The 18465-nt window shown below is 46.2% G+C and overlaps 1 protein-coding gene across 5 annotated transcripts in view, besides 2 other annotated features; it reads right to left on the bottom strand.

The window, feature by feature from the left end:
- The window catches only part of MAN1C1 (mannosidase alpha class 1C member 1), a 167660-nt gene that overhangs the window by 128930 nt on the left and 20265 nt on the right, over window positions 1-18465 (bottom strand). The gene's annotated exons all lie outside the window — the stretch shown is intronic.
- Window positions 9817-10017: a silencer, noted in NCBI's record as "peak130 fragment used in MPRA reporter construct". NCBI's record gives its function as "represses an SCP1 promoter by STARR-seq MPRAs in K562 erythroleukemia cells {active_cell/tissue: K562}" and the evidence as "EXISTENCE:reporter gene assay evidence [ECO:0000049][PMID:32103011]".
- Window positions 12512-12561: an enhancer, noted in NCBI's record as "active region_462". NCBI's record gives its function as "activates an Ori minimal core promoter by ATAC-STARR-seq in GM12878 lymphoblastoid cells {active_cell/tissue: GM12878}" and the evidence as "EXISTENCE:reporter gene assay evidence [ECO:0000049][PMID:35858748]".

The raw sequence follows: 18465 nt of genomic DNA, 5'->3' as shown, positions 1-18465 counted from the left end.
AAACTCAGCTCACTCCCTTGAAGCCAAGGAAAGAGATTTAAACTACAAGTGTCCACCAGTTCCCTGTAACTAAACTAGTTATTTGGTATTTTGAGAGCATCTGAGAATCACAATCACAGAGGCAAGAGGGGCTCATTTCTTCAGCTCGCCCTCACCTTGCAGAAGGGGAACTTTAACCCTGGAAGAGCAGTGTTGGACAGCAGGTTCCCTCCCTGAGATCCACGGACTCCAGGAGCTGAGTGAGAGGCTGCAGCAAGGGAGCTTGGAGATCGAGTTTTATCCCCACATTTTGTAGTTGAAACTCAGACCTGGAGAAGTTGAAAGGACTTTCCCAAGATCACACGGTAAATAAATTCCTTACTTAGTCCGGATCTCTGGGGGTGAAGGAGGCTGAAGCTCTCAATTGGAGATATGGTGTCAGCTTTGCTTTTGTTTTAAAAAAGCACAAGCACACATGATGGTTTGTTTCAAACCAATAAAGACTTGTTTTGTTTTAAGCCACTTCAATTATCAGAGGACAGCATGTGTTCCAGTGAACTCTACAGCACTTTGGAACCATGGAAAATTTACAGCCTAGGCCCGACACGGTGGCTCACGCCTGTAATCCCCACACTTTGGGAGGCCGAGGTGGGCAGATCGTGAGGTCAGGAGATCGAGACCATCCCGGCCAACATGGTGAAACCCCGTCTCTACTAAAAATACAAAAATTAGCTAGGCGTGGTGGTGTGTGCCTGTAGTCCCAGCTACTCGGGAGGCTGAGGCAGGAGAATGGCTTGAACCCAGGAGGCGGAGGTTGCAGTGAGCCAAGATCGCACCACTGCACTCCAGCCTGGTGACAGTGCAAGACTCCATCTCAAAAAAAAAAGGAAAAAAGGAAAATTTACAGCCTAAACATGAGCAGATTACGTTCCACAGCATCTGCCATAAAGTTACCCTTTCCAGTGCAGCCACACACAGATTAAAGTAAAAGCAAAGCATAAAGAAAGCACAGTTATTTGGAGAAGAGAAAAGCTGCTTCGGCAACAGCTAAGTCCTGGGACCTGGCAGGCTTGGGGGTGAGCACCCACTTGGCGTGAGACAGTTTCCTCAACTAGGGGCCTGGATCTCACTCAGCAGCTCAAAGTCAAAACTGCTTTCCTTTTGTAAAGCCTTACCCTTTGGAAGGGGTCAGATGCCTCATGGATCGGTATAACAGCCTGGGGTCCTCTAGGACCACATACACAAGACTTCAAATCTTTGATAGATCTTCATCTGGAAGGCAACCCCAGGACCGCTGTGTCTAAGAAATGAAAGCCAAGGCTCTGGTGAGGGGAAGGAATTTGTCCATAATTACACAGCACATCAGCAAGGATAAGTGACTCGGGTTGGGGGATGAAGGGATGAAGGGCCCAGGCTGACCCATATAGGTGATACTCCTTCTATAACCCTGGGAGTTCCAAAACTTGTCTCAATGTGCAACCAGGAATAGATCAGGGTTTCCCAGTCCCGGCACTGCTGACATGTTGGGCCAGATAATTATTTGCTGTGGGGTCTGTCCTGGATGCTATCCTTTGGTTATCAGCTTCCCTGGCCCCTATCCACGAGATGCCCATAGCATCCCCAGTGTGGCAGCCAAAAACGTCTCGAAAAACTGACCTTTGACTCCCCTGGGGGAGCAAAACTAGCCCAGTTGAGAACTGGAGAAGATGGATGGCAAGTTTTGAAGCGTGCTGCTCCCCGCCCCGACCTGGCCCTGCTCTGCCCTCCCAAACATGCCTGATCCCCTGCCCTCTAGGGAAGAGCTGGGCTACTCAGCAAACTTCCTGCAGAAGCCAGACTTGTGGGGAGCCAAGGCCAAACCACAGCAGCCTCGTTCTGGGGAAAGCAGCTCTTAAGACCAACGGCCTCTGTGATGTGACCCCTTGGCCCTGGACACTGATACCTACTAGGTCCGAGAACATTCAGAAAAATCAGGGAATCCGTGGAGCACCCCACTTGAGAAGCCAGAGGTCCTCCTCCAGGGTGGGATGACAAGACACCTAATTTGGCTTAGGGCCACACGAGTAGTCACAACACAACACAAAAAGATGGTTTACCATAAAGGCCCCTAATAAGGGACCAGCAGTATTGGGAAATGGTTGGGGGTTTCAACAGAGGAGGTACAGCTGTGCATGGTGGCTCACACCTGTAATCCCAGCACTCTGGGTGGCTGAGGCAGAAGGATCACTTGAGCCCAGAAGTTTGAAACCAGCCTGGGCAACTTAGTGAAACCCCACCTCTACAAAAAATTAATAAATTAGCCTGGCATGGTGGCATGTGCCTGTAGTCCTAAATACTTGAGAAGCTGAGGTGGGAGGATGGATTTGAGCCCAGGAGGTCAAGACCGCAGCGAGCTTAGATTGTGCCACTGCACTGCAGCCTGGGAAACAGTGAGACCTTGTTTCAAAAAACAAAAACAAAACAAAACAAAAAAACAGGCTGGATGTGGTGGCTCATACTGATAATCCCAGCACTTTGGGAGGTCAAGATGGGCAGATCTCTTGAACTCCAGAGGCCAGGAGTTCAAGACCAGCCTGGGCAACATGGCGAGACCTCATTTCTACAAAAAATACCAAAAAATTAGCCAGGCATGGCGGTGCATGCCTGCAGTCCCAGCTACTTTGAAGGCTGAGGTGGGAGGATCGCTTGAGCCTGGGAGGTTGAGGCTACAGTGAGCTGTGATCACAATAAAGCCGACATTGATTAAACACCTCCTACGGGCCAGGCACCCTGCTGAGCACTGCAACCCCGAGGGTGATCCCACTGTCACCCATTGTGCAGAAAAGGACATTGAGGCAGAGGTTGAGTAATTTTGCTCCGGGCCCACCACTGATCCTGCATGTCGGTGGGAGGGCACCCACGCTCTGCTTCAGGAGGAAGCAACTTCATGCCAGTGCCAAGACCCACCAAGGCAGGGGAAAAGATGACACGGCTTCAGGTAGGCAGCAGGCTCTGGTCTTTGCTAACCAGCCATGCACCAAGGGCTGCCAGCAACTCGGCCCCATGCCTGAGCGGGTGCTGGGGGCCTCCAGCCTGTGGGGTGGGAAGGGCTGGTGCCAGCTGGAACAGAACTTGAGAACACATTTGCAGAGTCTCACTTCCCGGGAGAGCGCCACTGCCACACTGAGCAGACTCCTTGGCAGTGAGTGATCCTTACAAGAGTTCCAGCGTTACTTGGAGAAGCCATTTGTTTCCCAACAGCAACCAAGAAGGCAGCAGCTGTCCTGCACAGGAGTCCCTCCTGCTTCCTGGACCTCTGGTCAGGGAGGCCTCTTCCAGGAGCTACACAGGCCTTCAGGGCCTGACATGCGGCAGCAGGAAGGCTCCTCAGCTTAGACCCCAGGACAAGAGTGTCCACACATGTCCTCAGGAAGTGCCTGGAGGCCTTGGGGTCAGACTTTTAGGAGTCAAGAGCTGCTATGAAGAGGCCAATCAGAAAGATCAAGCACTTGGCTTTGAGTGGCCATTGCTGGGCAGCAGGAGAGTTTGGGTTCCCAAACTACTCCACCATCCCTGCTCAGGCCAGTCTCTGGCCCCGGCAGGCAGGCAGGCAGCAGGGTCTTCTCTCCTCATTCACAAGCACCCATTATAGTCACGTGGGAACATGTTGCTAACACCCTACATGGAACAGGACTTAGTTGCTTTTCTAAACCTTACAACCTATCAGTCTGAGGAAACACCTGAAATCAGCCTGATATAACCCCCAATGCATAGATTTTTCCCATGGGGAACATCTTATTTTCTTTCTGACATTTAACCTCAGGTCATAGCCAGGGTGGGGATTATAACACCTTTGAACAGGCCAGAAAGACCCGCGTGTGGTTACAGAATAAGCATGTTAATTCTGAGCTCCTGCTCCGTGCAAGGGCAGAGGAAGGCAGCACTGGTCTCTCCCTGCAGACAGCATTTTCCTCTAAGAAAAGGATTTTCATCTTGGGTCACGGCCCCTCCAACAAGGGAAAGGCTGGATACTTCTTTGAGGAGACTTGGTCCACAGTGCTGGGCTGCCCCTTCCTTCCTGCCTGTCACACATGACCAGGGCAGAATGGAAACAGGAGTCCATCCCACTCATACCACTTGCAGGGCAATGAGCAGCCCAGGCGCCAGCAACAAGGCAGTGAGCTCAGGAGAGGCTTACAGGCCAGCTGAAGAGCCGTGCAAGGCCAGTGCAGGCCGGGACCAACCAGGGCCTTCCTGCCTGTCACTCAGGGAAGTCTGTCTTTCTGGCCAGCTGAGGCTGGTCACTGTCAGGAGTCTCCAACCAGGGCCAGTCTGCCCGCTTCTCCTCTGGGACAGAAGAAAGTGTGGCAGAGGATTCCCCACTGGTGCTCTAGAATTGCAGTAGCCGTCCCGGGTCCTCAGGATCTGCTGATTTCCAGAACACCTGTTCAGTTGGTGAGCGGCCCCTATTGTGAGTGTTCACCCAGTGGCAATCTCTCCTACCAAGCTTCCACTTACTCACCTTCTCCCCTTCTCCTAAGCCAACCCCCTCCAGGTCTCCTTGGAGGAGTTCTTACTTACTGAATGAATAAGTAAAAAAAAAAGTTTAAAAATAAGCCTGGATAAGAGCAATAAAGCCTCCCTTTAGCCTTTGCTATTAAAACTGATTTGAAATAGGAGAGCTAGATTTTCCAGGTGAGAATTACAGGGTTTGTGGATTAGGGAGACAACCAAGTCTCCTTTATTCTCCTTCTGTAAGGACTAAATTGATATTTACTTGCACAAGCCAAGAGTGAAAGTGGGCAGCCAGCTCTCCTAATAGCCATTTATACATCCAAGTTTGGTAGATTTATCGGTGTCTAAAACAGCAGAAAGAAAGAATGAGAACACACTATGTCAAAGCAAGTTCTCTATTATCCCAAAGAGAATTTACTATTGTTAAAAGCCCTGTCCCTTGCTGGAGAGATTTGGTTAGGCCATGGAGAGGCCACAGAGTCAAGCAGGCCATACCTGGACCTGCTCTCTCTGCGGGGGGTCGTGAGCTCCCCAAACAGGACCCCAAATAACCTCAGAACAACCTCAGAAGCAAGAGTTACGTGGAAGTAGACTGGAGCAGTGGCCACCTGCAGCAGCCTCAGAAGAGCAAACACTGGACACTGTATTTGGTAATAAAAGGCTCTGAACCCCTACGGAGTTGCTGGTACGATTTCCTCAGCTCTTGGTCAAATTTACACACATTCATTAAGGTCACAGCCCAGCCATGAGCCAGATGCCTCGATTAATCCCTTTAGAGCCAGAGAAATAAACACTGGGTAAGAAACAATGTTAAGGACCTGATTTATAAAAGCAAGAAGGACATTGTCTTTTGGCAGAAATGACCTGCTGCTTGACCCACAGTAAGTGGAGACCCACACGCCCCAGTCAGTGGTGCAGAGCTGTGGACATGGGAGTGTACAGAATTTATAGCCCCTGCTTTGAGTGTCAGAAACTGGGTCTGTGCACTGCCCCCTCCCCCAACTTTGGCAACTCAGCCAGGCCAGTGGCTAAAGGTCTTCTCGGGAGCCAGTACAACCACAGACAAGATGGAGCATCCTAGAGTTTTCAATACTAAAAGCAACAAGGCCAGGCCGGGCACGGTGGCTCACTCCTGTATCCCAGCACTTTTGGGAGGCTGAGACAGACGGATCACTTGAGGCCAGGAGTTCCAGACCAGCCTAGCCAACATGGTGAAACCCTGTCTCTATTAAAAATACAAAAATTAGCCAGGCATGGTGGCACACACCTGTAATCCCAGCTACTCGAGAAGCTGAGGCAGGGGAATTGCTTGAACCCGGGAGGGGCAGGTTGCAGGGAACTGAGATTGCGCCACTGTACTCCAGCCTGGGCGACAGAGTGAGACCCTATCTCCAAAAAAGAAAAAGGACTGCTACCCAGCCCCAAAACTGGGGAAAGGCAGCCCAGTGACCCAGTCAAAGGGTCCGCTAATATGGACAAAGGATCCCCTCAGAGACTGCTGGTAAAGTCCAGAAATATGAGGACCTCATTGCCCACAGAAAGGCTCAGTTAAGAAAGTCAAGAGGACAAGTGAAAACAAGAGTGAGGGTGAGGATCAACCTGAGCCTGAGCCGGGAAGACCAGAGGCATCCAACCAGCCTTAGGTCCCACACTGTGGACTCACACCACCACTAAGAAACATTTGGGATTTCCGACACTCAAAAAGTGACTTCGTATTGGCATGCTCTATATGCTGTCACATCATGCCCTTGTCACAAAGACAAAAGCTCTGGTGGGAAACACAAAGCCTCTTCAGAAGCCCTATTCAGCCTGCACTTGCCACAGAGAAATGGTGCCAGGAGTTCTTCTGAGTACTCATGCGTGGCAAGTGCTAGACAGTCCAGGAAGGTACCTTCTAAGCTTCTAGGTGCAAACTCAAATCAAGAAGACCTGGTGTCCTTCCTGGTACGTGCTTGACATAAGTGTTAAGAACAATGCTTGTGAAATTCCTAAGGAAATGTGAGAGACCCAGTCCTGCACACTGATTTGCCTTCCCCTGTTCAGTTGCTGACAGGAAGTAGAAGACAGGTAGTCAGGGAAGAATGACAGTTTGGGGATTAGTGTGATGACTATTAGCCAAGTTCTGCTCTGCTTTTCTTTTCAAAGAAAACTTCCCTTCTCTTTGCTCTTGGAATGCCACGTTAGAAGACATTTCCATGGCAACCACATACACATTTGGTGATGTCTCACTAAATTTGTGTGTGCACAAAGGCACATGAGGAGATTTTTTGAATGTGTAAGAGAAATAGATTTTCATAATTGAATTATGCCCTCAAGTAGAGTTTACCATTTGCTGAAAGCCAGGGCCAGAGCAGAGGATGCTAATTGTGTCTCATCAGAATTGAGGCTCCACTCAAAGATTTCTGCCAACTCCAGGTGAGGGCTTGTCTCTTGGGGAGGCTGCTGCCCAGTAAAGGGCAGGGACAGATGGGGCAGAGCCAGAGGTCAAGATGGCCTTGACAGAGCTGGGTAAAATAGATCCATTTCATATGTGACCAGAGCCTGGGGAGGAGAAAGCACCCTACATAAGAATCAGGTGTCACCCTCCTCCTCCTCCTCCAGGTTCTTGGCAACTTATGACCCCAAGACCATCATCTGCTCTAACAAAGAGAGGGTGGGAAAAGATTAGCACCAATATCAGACGGCTTCTGCAAGAAGTGCAACACAACAAAAAGAATGCTGAATCTAGAGCCAGAAGCCTCAGATGTGTGTTCTAGTTCTGGCTCTTCCTAATCATGGAACTTAAAGCCACTCCTTTTCTAAAGCTCAATCTGTCAACTGGGAATATGCTCCCTGATGAGCAGATGCTTCCAGGAGGCAGTGACTGTAGAAGCGTCACCAGGAGATGGTAGCACTGCTAAACCCTAATGCTGCTTATAAGATGGCACTGACTTGGCCCACATGCCCCAAAGGAAGCCTCTGCCAGATGCAGGCGGGGCTCCCAGAGCTTGGGCACAGCGACAAGTGCCCAGCCGACACTACTTGTGCTGATTGGGGCTGCTGTGGGCTCATGGTGGCCTGGCTCCAGGTCTTTCCAGCAAGGGGTGGGAGGATAGCCCTGCAGCACCTGCCCAGCACCCCAGAGGCTTTAACGTCAGCCTTTCTGGTCCTCTCAGACCCCTATCCTACCCTAGGTCCTAAGCCATTAGCCAGCAGCCAAGAGAGCCTGGGGACTCACAACCCACATGCATTCAACTCACACATATCCCATTCCATCTGTCTGTACCCCTCATCCCAATTTCTATTCCCCCATCGCTCTTCCCCACCCAAACCAGACCTTGGCCTTTTCTGCCCTGAAGAGAGAGAAGCTACCACTGGGAGCAAATAAAAGCAGCCAAATCTTGGCTCTTGAGCTTCCAAGGGACTGGGTCCTGGCCAGAGATTTTCGAGGGTAGTTTTGACCATGTGTGCTTGATTCAGAACCTAACCCCCAGGTAAGAATCAATCACAGTTGCCTTGGCCTCAGGAGAGGGGCATTGCTTGGAGTTAAGACGAGGTACCTCCATACTGGAGCCCAGTGAAGCACCCCCAGCGCCATCACATATCAGCCTAATCTGTGGGCTGGGCTTGGACCCACCTCTTCCTTTGGACTCGTAACCTGTCTTCCCTGGGCGAGCCCACACTCTGCCATTATCCCAGCCCTAGGGTCAAACACCTTGCACCACAGGCACCACCTGGAACAGCCCTCCCAAGCTCCCATGCAGCCTTTCACCACCCTAGTCCCCTGGCTTCCCACCACATGCTCCCAAAAAACTGGAGAGGGCTCAGCCACCCCTGAGGACCAGACCCTGGCCTACCCAGCTGCACTTGTGAATGCCACCTGACTTCCCCAGGCCCCACGTGCCCTCCCTGCTCACTCCTTATGCCACTGGTCCCAGCAACCCTCCACTGAGGGTCACTCCAGGTAATTCTGGTTTATGCTAGAGAGGGGCTGGCACTCTCAGCTTCCAAAGTCACCACCTCCCCTCATACACTGCTATTGAGAGTGTAAAGCGGTGCAGCCACTGGGAGAAACAGTCTGACCGTTCCCCACCAAGTTGAACAGAGTCACCATATGACCCAGCAATCCCACTCCCAGGTATATGCCCTAAAGAACTGAAAACATGTCCACCCAAAACCATGTACACAAATGTCCACAGCAGCATTATTTATCACAGCCCAAAGGTGGAAACAATCCAAATGTCCATCAACAGAAGAATGGAGAAAGAAAATGCGGTCTACCCATACAATGGGATTTTATCCGGCCATCAAAAGAAACTCTCGCACACACTACAACACAGTGAACTTCAAAACTGTCATAAGACCTCATATTCTATGGTTCCATTTATATAAAGAATCCAGAATAGAAAAATTCAGAGGCAGAAAGCAGATTCGTGGCTGCCAGGGACTGGGCTGGGGGTAGTGGGTCTGGAGTGACTGCCTAATGGGTATGGTTTTCCATTTGGGGAGACAGAGTTGTGAAACTAGGCAGTGGTGATGGTCACGTAACACTGTGAATGTATTATACCTAGTGCCATTGAGTTGTACATTTTAAAATGGCTAACATATATTTTTATGTTATATGTATTTTACCACAATTTTTTAAAAGCCACCACCTCCCACAGCCATCTATGCAGTTCCTCAGTGCTCCCCGCACCCTCTGCAGCCTGGAAGGCCCAGGACGATGAGGGCACCATCTCCAAGCGGCCAGGCCTGGGCCCAGCAGGGAGGCTGCACCGCACACGGGCGTGGCGTCAGAAGTCAGATGCGTTTCGGTGTAGTTGGTGAGATGGCCACAGGGTCCTCCACCACAAGCCCTGCGGGGACCAGCACGGAGGAAGGAACAGGAACTCCGGTTAGCTTTCCGCACCTATGCAAGAAGGCTAAGTGCCCAGCACTGGCTGCTGAAAACGCAGCGAACACAGAGGAGAAAGTCCCCGCACATTTCTCAGTTCTGCAACAGTGAACTGGAATAGACATGCACCGGCCCCATCTCACCTGCTACCCTGGGGGATAGGCAGACCTCAACATTCATTCTTCAAGATGCTCACACCACTGAAGAAAGCTCAGAGTGATTTGGGCAAGACAGCAAAAGCCAAGGCTACTTGTTGCCAGAGACAGGGACTGCTGTGGCATCGAGCCTTCAAGACCTCCTTAGACATGCAGCCCAGCTGAGGAGCTGTCTTCAAACCCAGGCAGGGCCAAGAAGCAGGGCGGCTCTGGTGGCAGCAGTGAGGGCTCAGATATCGGGGAAATCTGGAAGGATGGCTGGAGCCAGAATGCCACTTAGACATAAGTGGATGGCAGTTTCAGCAGGAACTTTGCCAAATGACTCTCCCTTCAATGGTCGGGGCTTGGTTTCAAGTGAATGCTACCGTTCAAGTCGAGGATTCCAGGCAGAAACTGAGAGGAACATGGTGTTATCTATTTGGCCCCTGTGTGCTTGTGGTCACTGAGTAAAGACAAAATACATCTTCACCACTCTGCAATTTCTTCCTTTCCTCGAGAGCAATGAAGATGAACTTCTTTCCTGATGAAGGAGCTAGCCTGTGAATCTTCAGTGTGTGGCCAGGCCAGAGATGCATCCTGTTTCCAGAAAGGCGATGGAGGAACCACTCTGGGCATTCTGCTGGGATAAGGAATGAGCTACAAGCCTGGGTTCCTGCAGCACAGCCCAAGAGAAGAGGCACAGGACAGTCCTCAGGTGAGCTCTTGCACTCTCAGTGGGAAGCCAGAAAGCAGACAGCTCAGAGCGCCTGGAGCTCCTTGGCAGAGGTGGAATGGTGAGCCTTGACCAACGTCAGAAGATGGGGGAGAAAGAGGCTTTCCAATCCTTGATGCCAGCAAGGGAACAAAGCCCAGGAGCCTGCAGCCAGTGAAGACGCCCTCAGCACACCAGGCGAGGGGAGAGGACAAGGGGAAACTGCAGGAAAGCCCCCCAGTGGCTGAGGCATGCTCACCAGGGTCAGCAGGCAGTCAGGTTTGGCAGAATCAGCTAGTAAAGGGAAAAGCAGGCTGGATGTGGCACTTGGTCTTTCTGCTACCTGACTCAACCTTCTCCCCCAACCTCTGGTTGTTCTTTAAAACACTGGTGTTCCCAAAGGCTCTGAGCCCTCTCCCTTTCCATCCAGGTTTTCCTCAAATGGCTCTGTGCTCAAGCCTTCAAGCCCTGACTCGCTAAACTAGGACCTCTAAATCTACATCTCTCGGCCGGGCGTGGTGGCGCATGCCTGTAATCCCAGCACTTTGGGAGGCTGAGGCAGGAGGATCGCTTTGAGCCCAAGAGTTCAAAACCAGGCTGGGTCACATGGCAAAACCCCATCTCCACAAAAACGCAAAACAATTAGCTGGGTGTTGGTGGCACGCTCCTGTAGTACCAGAGAGGCTGAGGCTGGAGAATTGCTTGAACCCGGGAGACGGACGCTACAGTGAGCCCAGATCGCACCACTGTACTCCAGCCTGGGTGACAGGGTGAGACCTTGTCTCAAAAAAAAAAAAAAAAAAAAAAAAATATATATATATATATATATATGTCTCTGGTACCATTACCCCAATCAGTCCTAAGCCCATATTTCCAACAACCCATTAGATGTGTCCACCTAGATTTCACAAGCATCTCATTTTTATCACGCCTAGCATTAAACTCCTCTCCCCCTTCCAAGATGTCTCACAGTCTCCCACTTCTTTATGTCACCTTGTGTCCCAGGTAGAAGCCTTGACCTTTCCAAGCTGCACCTATATCCACATGCACAACACCTCCCACGACTCAGTACACGGAGCTTTCTGCTAGTTTGCAAACCCACTACCCCCAGGATTGCCCACATTCTCCTGAAATGCCATTCTTTCCCCCACGCCCATGGCTCACGTCATCTTCAGGTGACTCCGCAGCCCTTTGCTCACACCTTTATCTAGCATCTCCATGGTGTTACCATGGTGCACCCGTAAGACCTTTCCATCCTCAGCATGTCAGGCATTGCCTGGCACACAGTAAGAACAAAGTAAGGCCCTGAAAAAGCTGAAGTGGAACAAAACAGTTAAGCAGCACTTAATATTCCTCTCACTGCGTATCAGTTCAACTACATTATTTCATGAAGTCTGGTTTGGACCTGTTTGACAACTAGATTTCCAACATGAATCAGTTCTGCAAATTCTAGCAGCCACATGAAGGCAATTTTTAGGACAATAATGTTAGGGGGTAGAAAACAGCAGATAAAAGGAGGTAGGGCTGGGCACGGTGGCTTATGCCTGTAATCCCAGCACTCTGAGAGGCAGAGGCGGGTGGATCACTTGAGCTCAGGAGTTCGAGACCAGCCTGGCCAACATGGAGAAACCCCGTATCTACTAAAAATACAAAAAAATTAGCTGGGTGGGGTGGCGGGTGTCTGTAATCCCAGCTACTCGGGAAGCTGAGGCAAATAATAATAATAATAATAATAATAATAAATATATATATATAAAAGGCCAGGCGTGGTGGGTCAGGCCTGTAATCCCAACACTTGGGGAGGCCGAGACAGGTGGATTATCTGAGATCAGGAGTTCGTGACCAGCCTGGCCAACACAGTGAAATCCCATCTCTACTAAAAATACAAAAAAAAAAAAAAAAAAAAATTAGCCAGGCGTGGTGGCGGGTGCCTGTAGTCCCAGCTACTCAGGAGGCTGAGGCTGGAGAATCGCTTAAAACCAGGAGGCAGAGGTTGCAGTGAGCAGAGATCGTGCTATTGAACTCCAGCCTGGGTGACAAGAATGAAACTCTGTTTCAAAGGTAAGTAAATAAATTAATTAATTAATTAATTAATTAAAAGGGAGGTAGGACTAAGGACTGCAGCCAGACAAAATAAGAGGATAGAGGGAGAGGATGGAGAACTAGAAGGTCCCTCCCCAACCCCGTCCCTCTGCAATCTAAGAAATGGCGTCCACCTGGGAGAATGGGCAGAAATGGACCCATGCAGAAATGTCTCAGCGTCTAATTAAACATCTTAGACTCTGCTGCGCATGAGAAGGGAACCTACGTCCCCCACAGAACCCTGACAAATGAGTCATTTCCAATCAATCTATCACCATAGCATCTGGGTACCTCAGGAAGATGAAAATAAGACCAATACATAAATGAAAACCAATATACAAACAATCATCTCCCCACACAGGCCTCCAGGAAACCACAGCTACAACCATCTGCCAAGCTCCATCCTCGTCACTGCTTCCTGCAGCCAGCGGCCTCGGAGCAAGCTTGGTTTCATATACGATTTAACAGAGGGAAATATATTCTCTGAAGTCTGACTCTCTATGAATGCTCTTAGGCTAAATGTCCACCCCTTGAAGCTGGAATGAAATAAGTCTGGGACAAATAGGATGTGTTTTCTATGCTGTATTAGCCAAAGAATTTGCTAGAAATAGTTGGGGCAGATTGAAGAACGATTGCAAGTTGGCAAAGGTTGAGAATTCACAGGTTTCTTGCATAGAAACAGAGCTCTCCAAGGGACCATCATTAAGCCCTGGGGAGGATTCTCACACTAATCTACAGCATATTCTCACTTTCTGCTGCTCTGCCAGAGGTGGCCTGGATAGATTTGATCTGATCAACCCAGGTCAGCAATTCTCAGGTGAAGTCACGTCTAGCACCTGGCATGGCTGAGATGAAACAGCAGAGCACGGCTGCAGAGTCGGAACCACCTGGGACTGGGTTAGGCTCTTTCACTTCTTCAGTATCTCCTATTTCCTGAGCATCAATCAGTTACTGGATTTTACAGATGACCACCGGCTTTGTTGCCCTCAGGATCTCTGTAAGGCCCTCAGGATCTCTGTAAGGGCAAGGCTGCTTAGCTAATGAGAATAGCAGAGGCAGCCACAGGAGGGAGGGCGATGGCCTGTGGGGAAATCGACTTCGGGACAAGCAAATATTTTCATTTCAGCTGTTTATGTCCTGGCTACTTCCTCAAAAAAGATTTAGGTGGGACAGGCAAATATTGATGCAGCCAAGTAATATTTCCCTACATCCATGCATCTGTATGTGGTTAGAAGTGATTCCAGTACATGCCAAGATTACACAATAAAATTCCTTAAAGCCAGAGACTCGTCTTTGTCTTTCCTTCAGCTCTTGCAACTGAGACTCAATAGATGGTAGGTGTTTTCAATATTTCTCTTAAAGTTTTAATAAATTCATGGCTTATCCGTATCATGTAAACAGTGTCTGCTCTTAACTCTGGAAAACTCAGTTTTGACTCTTGTCTCCAGCTTTTTTCTCACTCAATTTCGGTGCAGGTCTTAATAAATACAGAAAATTTCCAACCTCTTCCATAAGTGGGTCAAAGGGAACTACAGCCAGAAAAGAGATAAGTCGAGGCTAAGACAAAATTGCCATAGGTTCATTCTAAAGATTTTTCAATCCCTGTGCTCAGGCTACACCCAAGACCAATTAAATTTGCATCTGTGATTTAATTGGAGGAACTCAGGCATCAGTATTTACTAAAATGCCCCAGATAATTCCGGACTGCAATAAAGGGTAGATACCCTGGTCTAAAGATTCACAAGACCGGTTCTTTTACATGCCTATCCAGGCTATGACAGTTTCTACGCTCTTCCATTCCAAAGTGAAAACTCTTCCTCTAAGTTATCACCCACTAGCCTTCAAATGATGTCACAGAAAGAACATCACCCTTGGAGTGGGGAGGGGAGGTTTAAGTCTAGGCATCACAATTTAAACTGGTGGGACCTGGGGTTGGTCACATCCCTTTTCAGGGTCTTCAGCCTCTCAGCCATAAAACAGGATGACAGCCCATGCTCTGTATGCCGCAAGGCTGTTGGCTGGATCAGCTAAACTCTTAAGAGGATGTGTGGGCTCTAAGAATACCCCGCGCACTGGGAATTTTTGACCTGATCTGTCCAGGAAGCATTGTTCCAGCCTAGCCCCGACTACCCTTCAAAGCAGACTCCCTGAGGATTCTTACATTTAAAAGACTACAGGCTATACAGAATCCAAAACCCCCTTCTCTAACAGGCAAGTCGACTTCGAGTTCCAGAGCTCACAAACCTGAATCCCGCTCCTATTAGCGCCAAGTTGAACAGCACTTCACTCAGAGCACAGAGAACCTTATCATGCTATAATCTACTCCAGTGCCTAATCACAGAAATGTCTAATGTTGGTCTCCCTTGGCTCGATCTGGATTGATACCTTTCTGGCACCATTTTTAGTTACTCAAGGATCAACAATCAGGCATAGATATCCTAGCATGATTATAGGGAAGTTATTACACAATACCGCCTCTGAGTGTACATTAGTGTGGGGTCTCTACCCCTCACTTAATTATACACACAAAAATGCCAGTATCTGAAACTGCTAGAGAAGTCTCTAGACTGAGCTATTATTCTGCCAAAACATGAACCTTTCTCTACAAAGGGTTTCCTTATAATCTGAAGTAGCAAAATTGATTCTATTTTATAGGCTGTTCTCTAAGGTCCAGTTCTGAAAGGAAGAAACTAAAGTCTTCTTTTTCTTATTGATTCTTATAATTAAAAAACAAGACTACTCCAGAGCTCTGTAAGGTATGTGACAGACATGGAGAATGGCTTCTGGGAGACTTGGAAAGGAGGAAGATTTGCTAATTTAGGTCAAGGAAGTGCAGAAAAACAGAAAAGGTGCTGAAATGTCTTCCCAGGAAATCAGCATTTACTTGGCAAAGTATAGGTTTAACCTCTCAAAAGTTCATTCCAAGAATGAGGATGGGGGAGAGGGATCTTAAGTAAGAGACTTAAAACTTTTATTCAACACCTTCACCCATCCCAAATCAGACAAATGAAATTAAAGGCAGCCTTTGCAATAAAATATGATATTTACTTCACATTGAAATTTTCTGAATGAGGAGAGACAAGAGATCAGACCTCACAGATGGTGCCTTGGAAACTCCTTCAGCTACTTAGCATCCCTCTGATTAGTAATTCAGCAATTTGGCTTATGTGAACGATTCTCTTTTTAAAAACTGTTTTAATGTGAGAATTTACAAACTAAGTTTTAAAAAGCAGTCATTAGGCTTAAGGTAAAAAGCCCAGAGAAAATATTTGACAGGTTATAATATACTGAAATTCAAACTGATAGAGGCTACTAGAACACGACAAATATCAACAAACATTTTCTTCTAACAGCTAAAAGCAGATGAGCAAAAAATACACAAATAACTTGAGATGACATCAGCCAGAAATTAGGAGCCCTTTGGAGAACTGTTGTCTCTCTTCAGGTCATAGTTTCAACACAAAATTATATTTCACTCATCCAATGCCAATTACAAAAAAATAAGTAAGAATCTTTAAATATCTAAATTATGCAAAAACCTGTACACTGAAGTTCATGCATTTGATTCAGGAGTCTTTAGAGATCTACTCAATGTCTGTTTATTTGTACTTTACATATAAGGCCAACAAGCTAGATTAAATAGTTTCCTAGCCAACCGCAGGTTAGAAAATAACAAAGGAAGGGTGGAGAATATAGTAGCCAGAGGCAAGTATTCTGACAGCTACAAGAAGTAACAGCTGACAGCCCAACAAAAAGAGGGGAGAAAAACTGTTTCAAAGCAGATGAACCTAGAATCTCAAAAAAGTAGCATCCACAATGTGTAGCATAGAATAAAAAGTGTCTAAACACGTTAAGATGTAGGAAGCTGTGACCCATACTCAGCAGATAAGTCAGTCAATATAAACAGGCCAAATGATGACAAAGATGTTGGAAATAGCAAACAAAAACTTTTTTAAAAAGCTATTATAAATATGCTTTAGGATTTAAGGAAAATATGGAAACAATCAGTGAACAGATGGGAAATCTCAGAGAAACAAAAACCATTAGAAAGTCCAAATGGAAATTCTAAAAGTAAAAACTGCCTGAAATAAAAAAGTCATTGGGTGAGCTTACAACATATTGTACATTACAGAAGCGTTCAGTGAACTTAAAGATAGGTTACTATAAATTATCCTCACAGAAGTACAGAGAGAAAGGAAGACCAAAGAAAAAAAATGAGCAGAGCCTCAGTGACCTCTAGGATGATATCAAGCAATCTAACTTATATGTAACTGGAGTTATAAAAGAAAAGGAGATGGGCTGAGAAGAAATATGGGCCAAACTTTTTCCAAACTGATGAAAAAATATCAATCCACAGACAAAATAAGCTCAAGAAACCCCAAGAAAGATCAACAACGACAATCACACCTAACTACAATAGTCAAATTGCTGAAAACAAAGATAAACTGAAAATCTTATAGCATCCAAAGGGAAGGAGAAACCAGCACATGCAGGGGAATATCCTGTAACTTCTCATCAGAAAGAATTCAGGCTACAAGACAATGGAATGACATCTTTGGCGTAAAGAAAGAGTCAACCTAATATTGTATATCCAGCAAAAATACCCTTTTGAAATAAAGGCAAAATAGAGATGCTTTCTGATAAAACAAAAGCTGCAAGGATTTGTCACCAGCAGATCTACACTACAAAAAAAATGTTAAGAAGGATTTTTCATGCTGAAGGGAAACAATACCAGATGGATATCAGACATATAAGAAGAAATGAAGAATATTGGAAATGGTCAGTATATGGGTAAATAAAAGGAATCTAAGTTATTAATTTATTTAAGACAACTGACTGTTTAAAGCAAAAATAATACCAATGTATTGTGAGGTTTATAACATACATAGCAGTAAAACACATGACAGCAACAGAATGAAGACTGGGAGAAGATAAATGGAAGTATATTGTTGAAAGGGCTTACATTATACATGAAATGATGTATTATTTCAGTGTAGATTGTGATAAGGATGAAAATTCTAATCATCAAAACAATAACTTAAAGTATGTTTCTCTGTGTGTGTATGCGTATAACGGATGACATAAAAATAGAATCTGAAATACTTGATTAATTCAAAAGAAGGCATGAAAAGGAAAAACGAAACAAAGGATATGAGACTAATAAAAAATGCTATACAACAGATTTAGATCCAGTTATATAAATAATACATTAAATATAAATGGAATAAACACTAATTCAAAAGCAGACTGTCAGACTAGATTCAAAAAGCCAGACCCAATTATGTGTTCTTTATAAGAGGTACATTTTAAATACAAAGATACAAATGGGTTAAAAAAAAAAAGGATGGAAAAAGTTCTACCATACAAACACTAATCATATGAAAGCTGAAGAGGCTATATCAATCAGGTAAAATATACTGCAAACAAAGAGAATTATCAGAAATGAAGAAATACATGTATAATGTTAAAAAGGGCCAATTCTTTAAGAATAATCCTAAATGTGTACATATCTAATAACATAAATATAAAAAATACGAAGCAAAACCTGACAGAATGAAAGGGAATCATGGAACAAATCCATAATTAGAGTTGGAAAGCAATATTTTTTTCTCCATAAAAGATTTTAAAAGTAGACCAAAAAAAAAAAATACATAGTTTTGAACACTATCAACCTATCTGACCTAAGTGACAGTTATTGAACATTCCACCCAACAACCATACAATACACATTTCTTAATTCAATGTACATGGAACATTTGCCAATATAGACCATATAGCTGGCCATAAAACAGGTCTCATGTTTCAAAGGCTTCAAATTAGAGTATGTTCTTTGAACATAAGGGACTTAAATTAGAAATCAATAATTAAAAGATATCTGGAAAATTAAATCCCAAATCAAAGAGTCCCTATCTTAAGTTAGAAAAAACAAAGTGAATTAAGCTCAACATAGGCAGAAGGAAGGAAATAAAGACTGAAAATTAATAAAATTTTTAAATGGATATTTTTAAGAAGACTAAAAGTTGATTCTTAGAAAAGATTAACAAAACTGATAAAGTATGACCTAAATTATTTTTTAATTTAATTTTTTTTTTTGAGACAGAGTTTGCTCTGTTGCCCAGGCTGGAGTGCAGTGGCGCGATCTCAGCTCACTGCAACCTTCATCTCCCTGGTTCAGGTGATTCTCCTGCCTC

This window comes from Homo sapiens, chromosome 1 (genome assembly GCF_000001405.40).
Source record: "Homo sapiens chromosome 1, GRCh38.p14 Primary Assembly".
NCBI classification, from domain to species: domain Eukaryota; kingdom Metazoa; phylum Chordata; class Mammalia; order Primates; family Hominidae; genus Homo; species Homo sapiens.
This window is presented reverse-complemented; position numbering and strand designations above follow the sequence as displayed.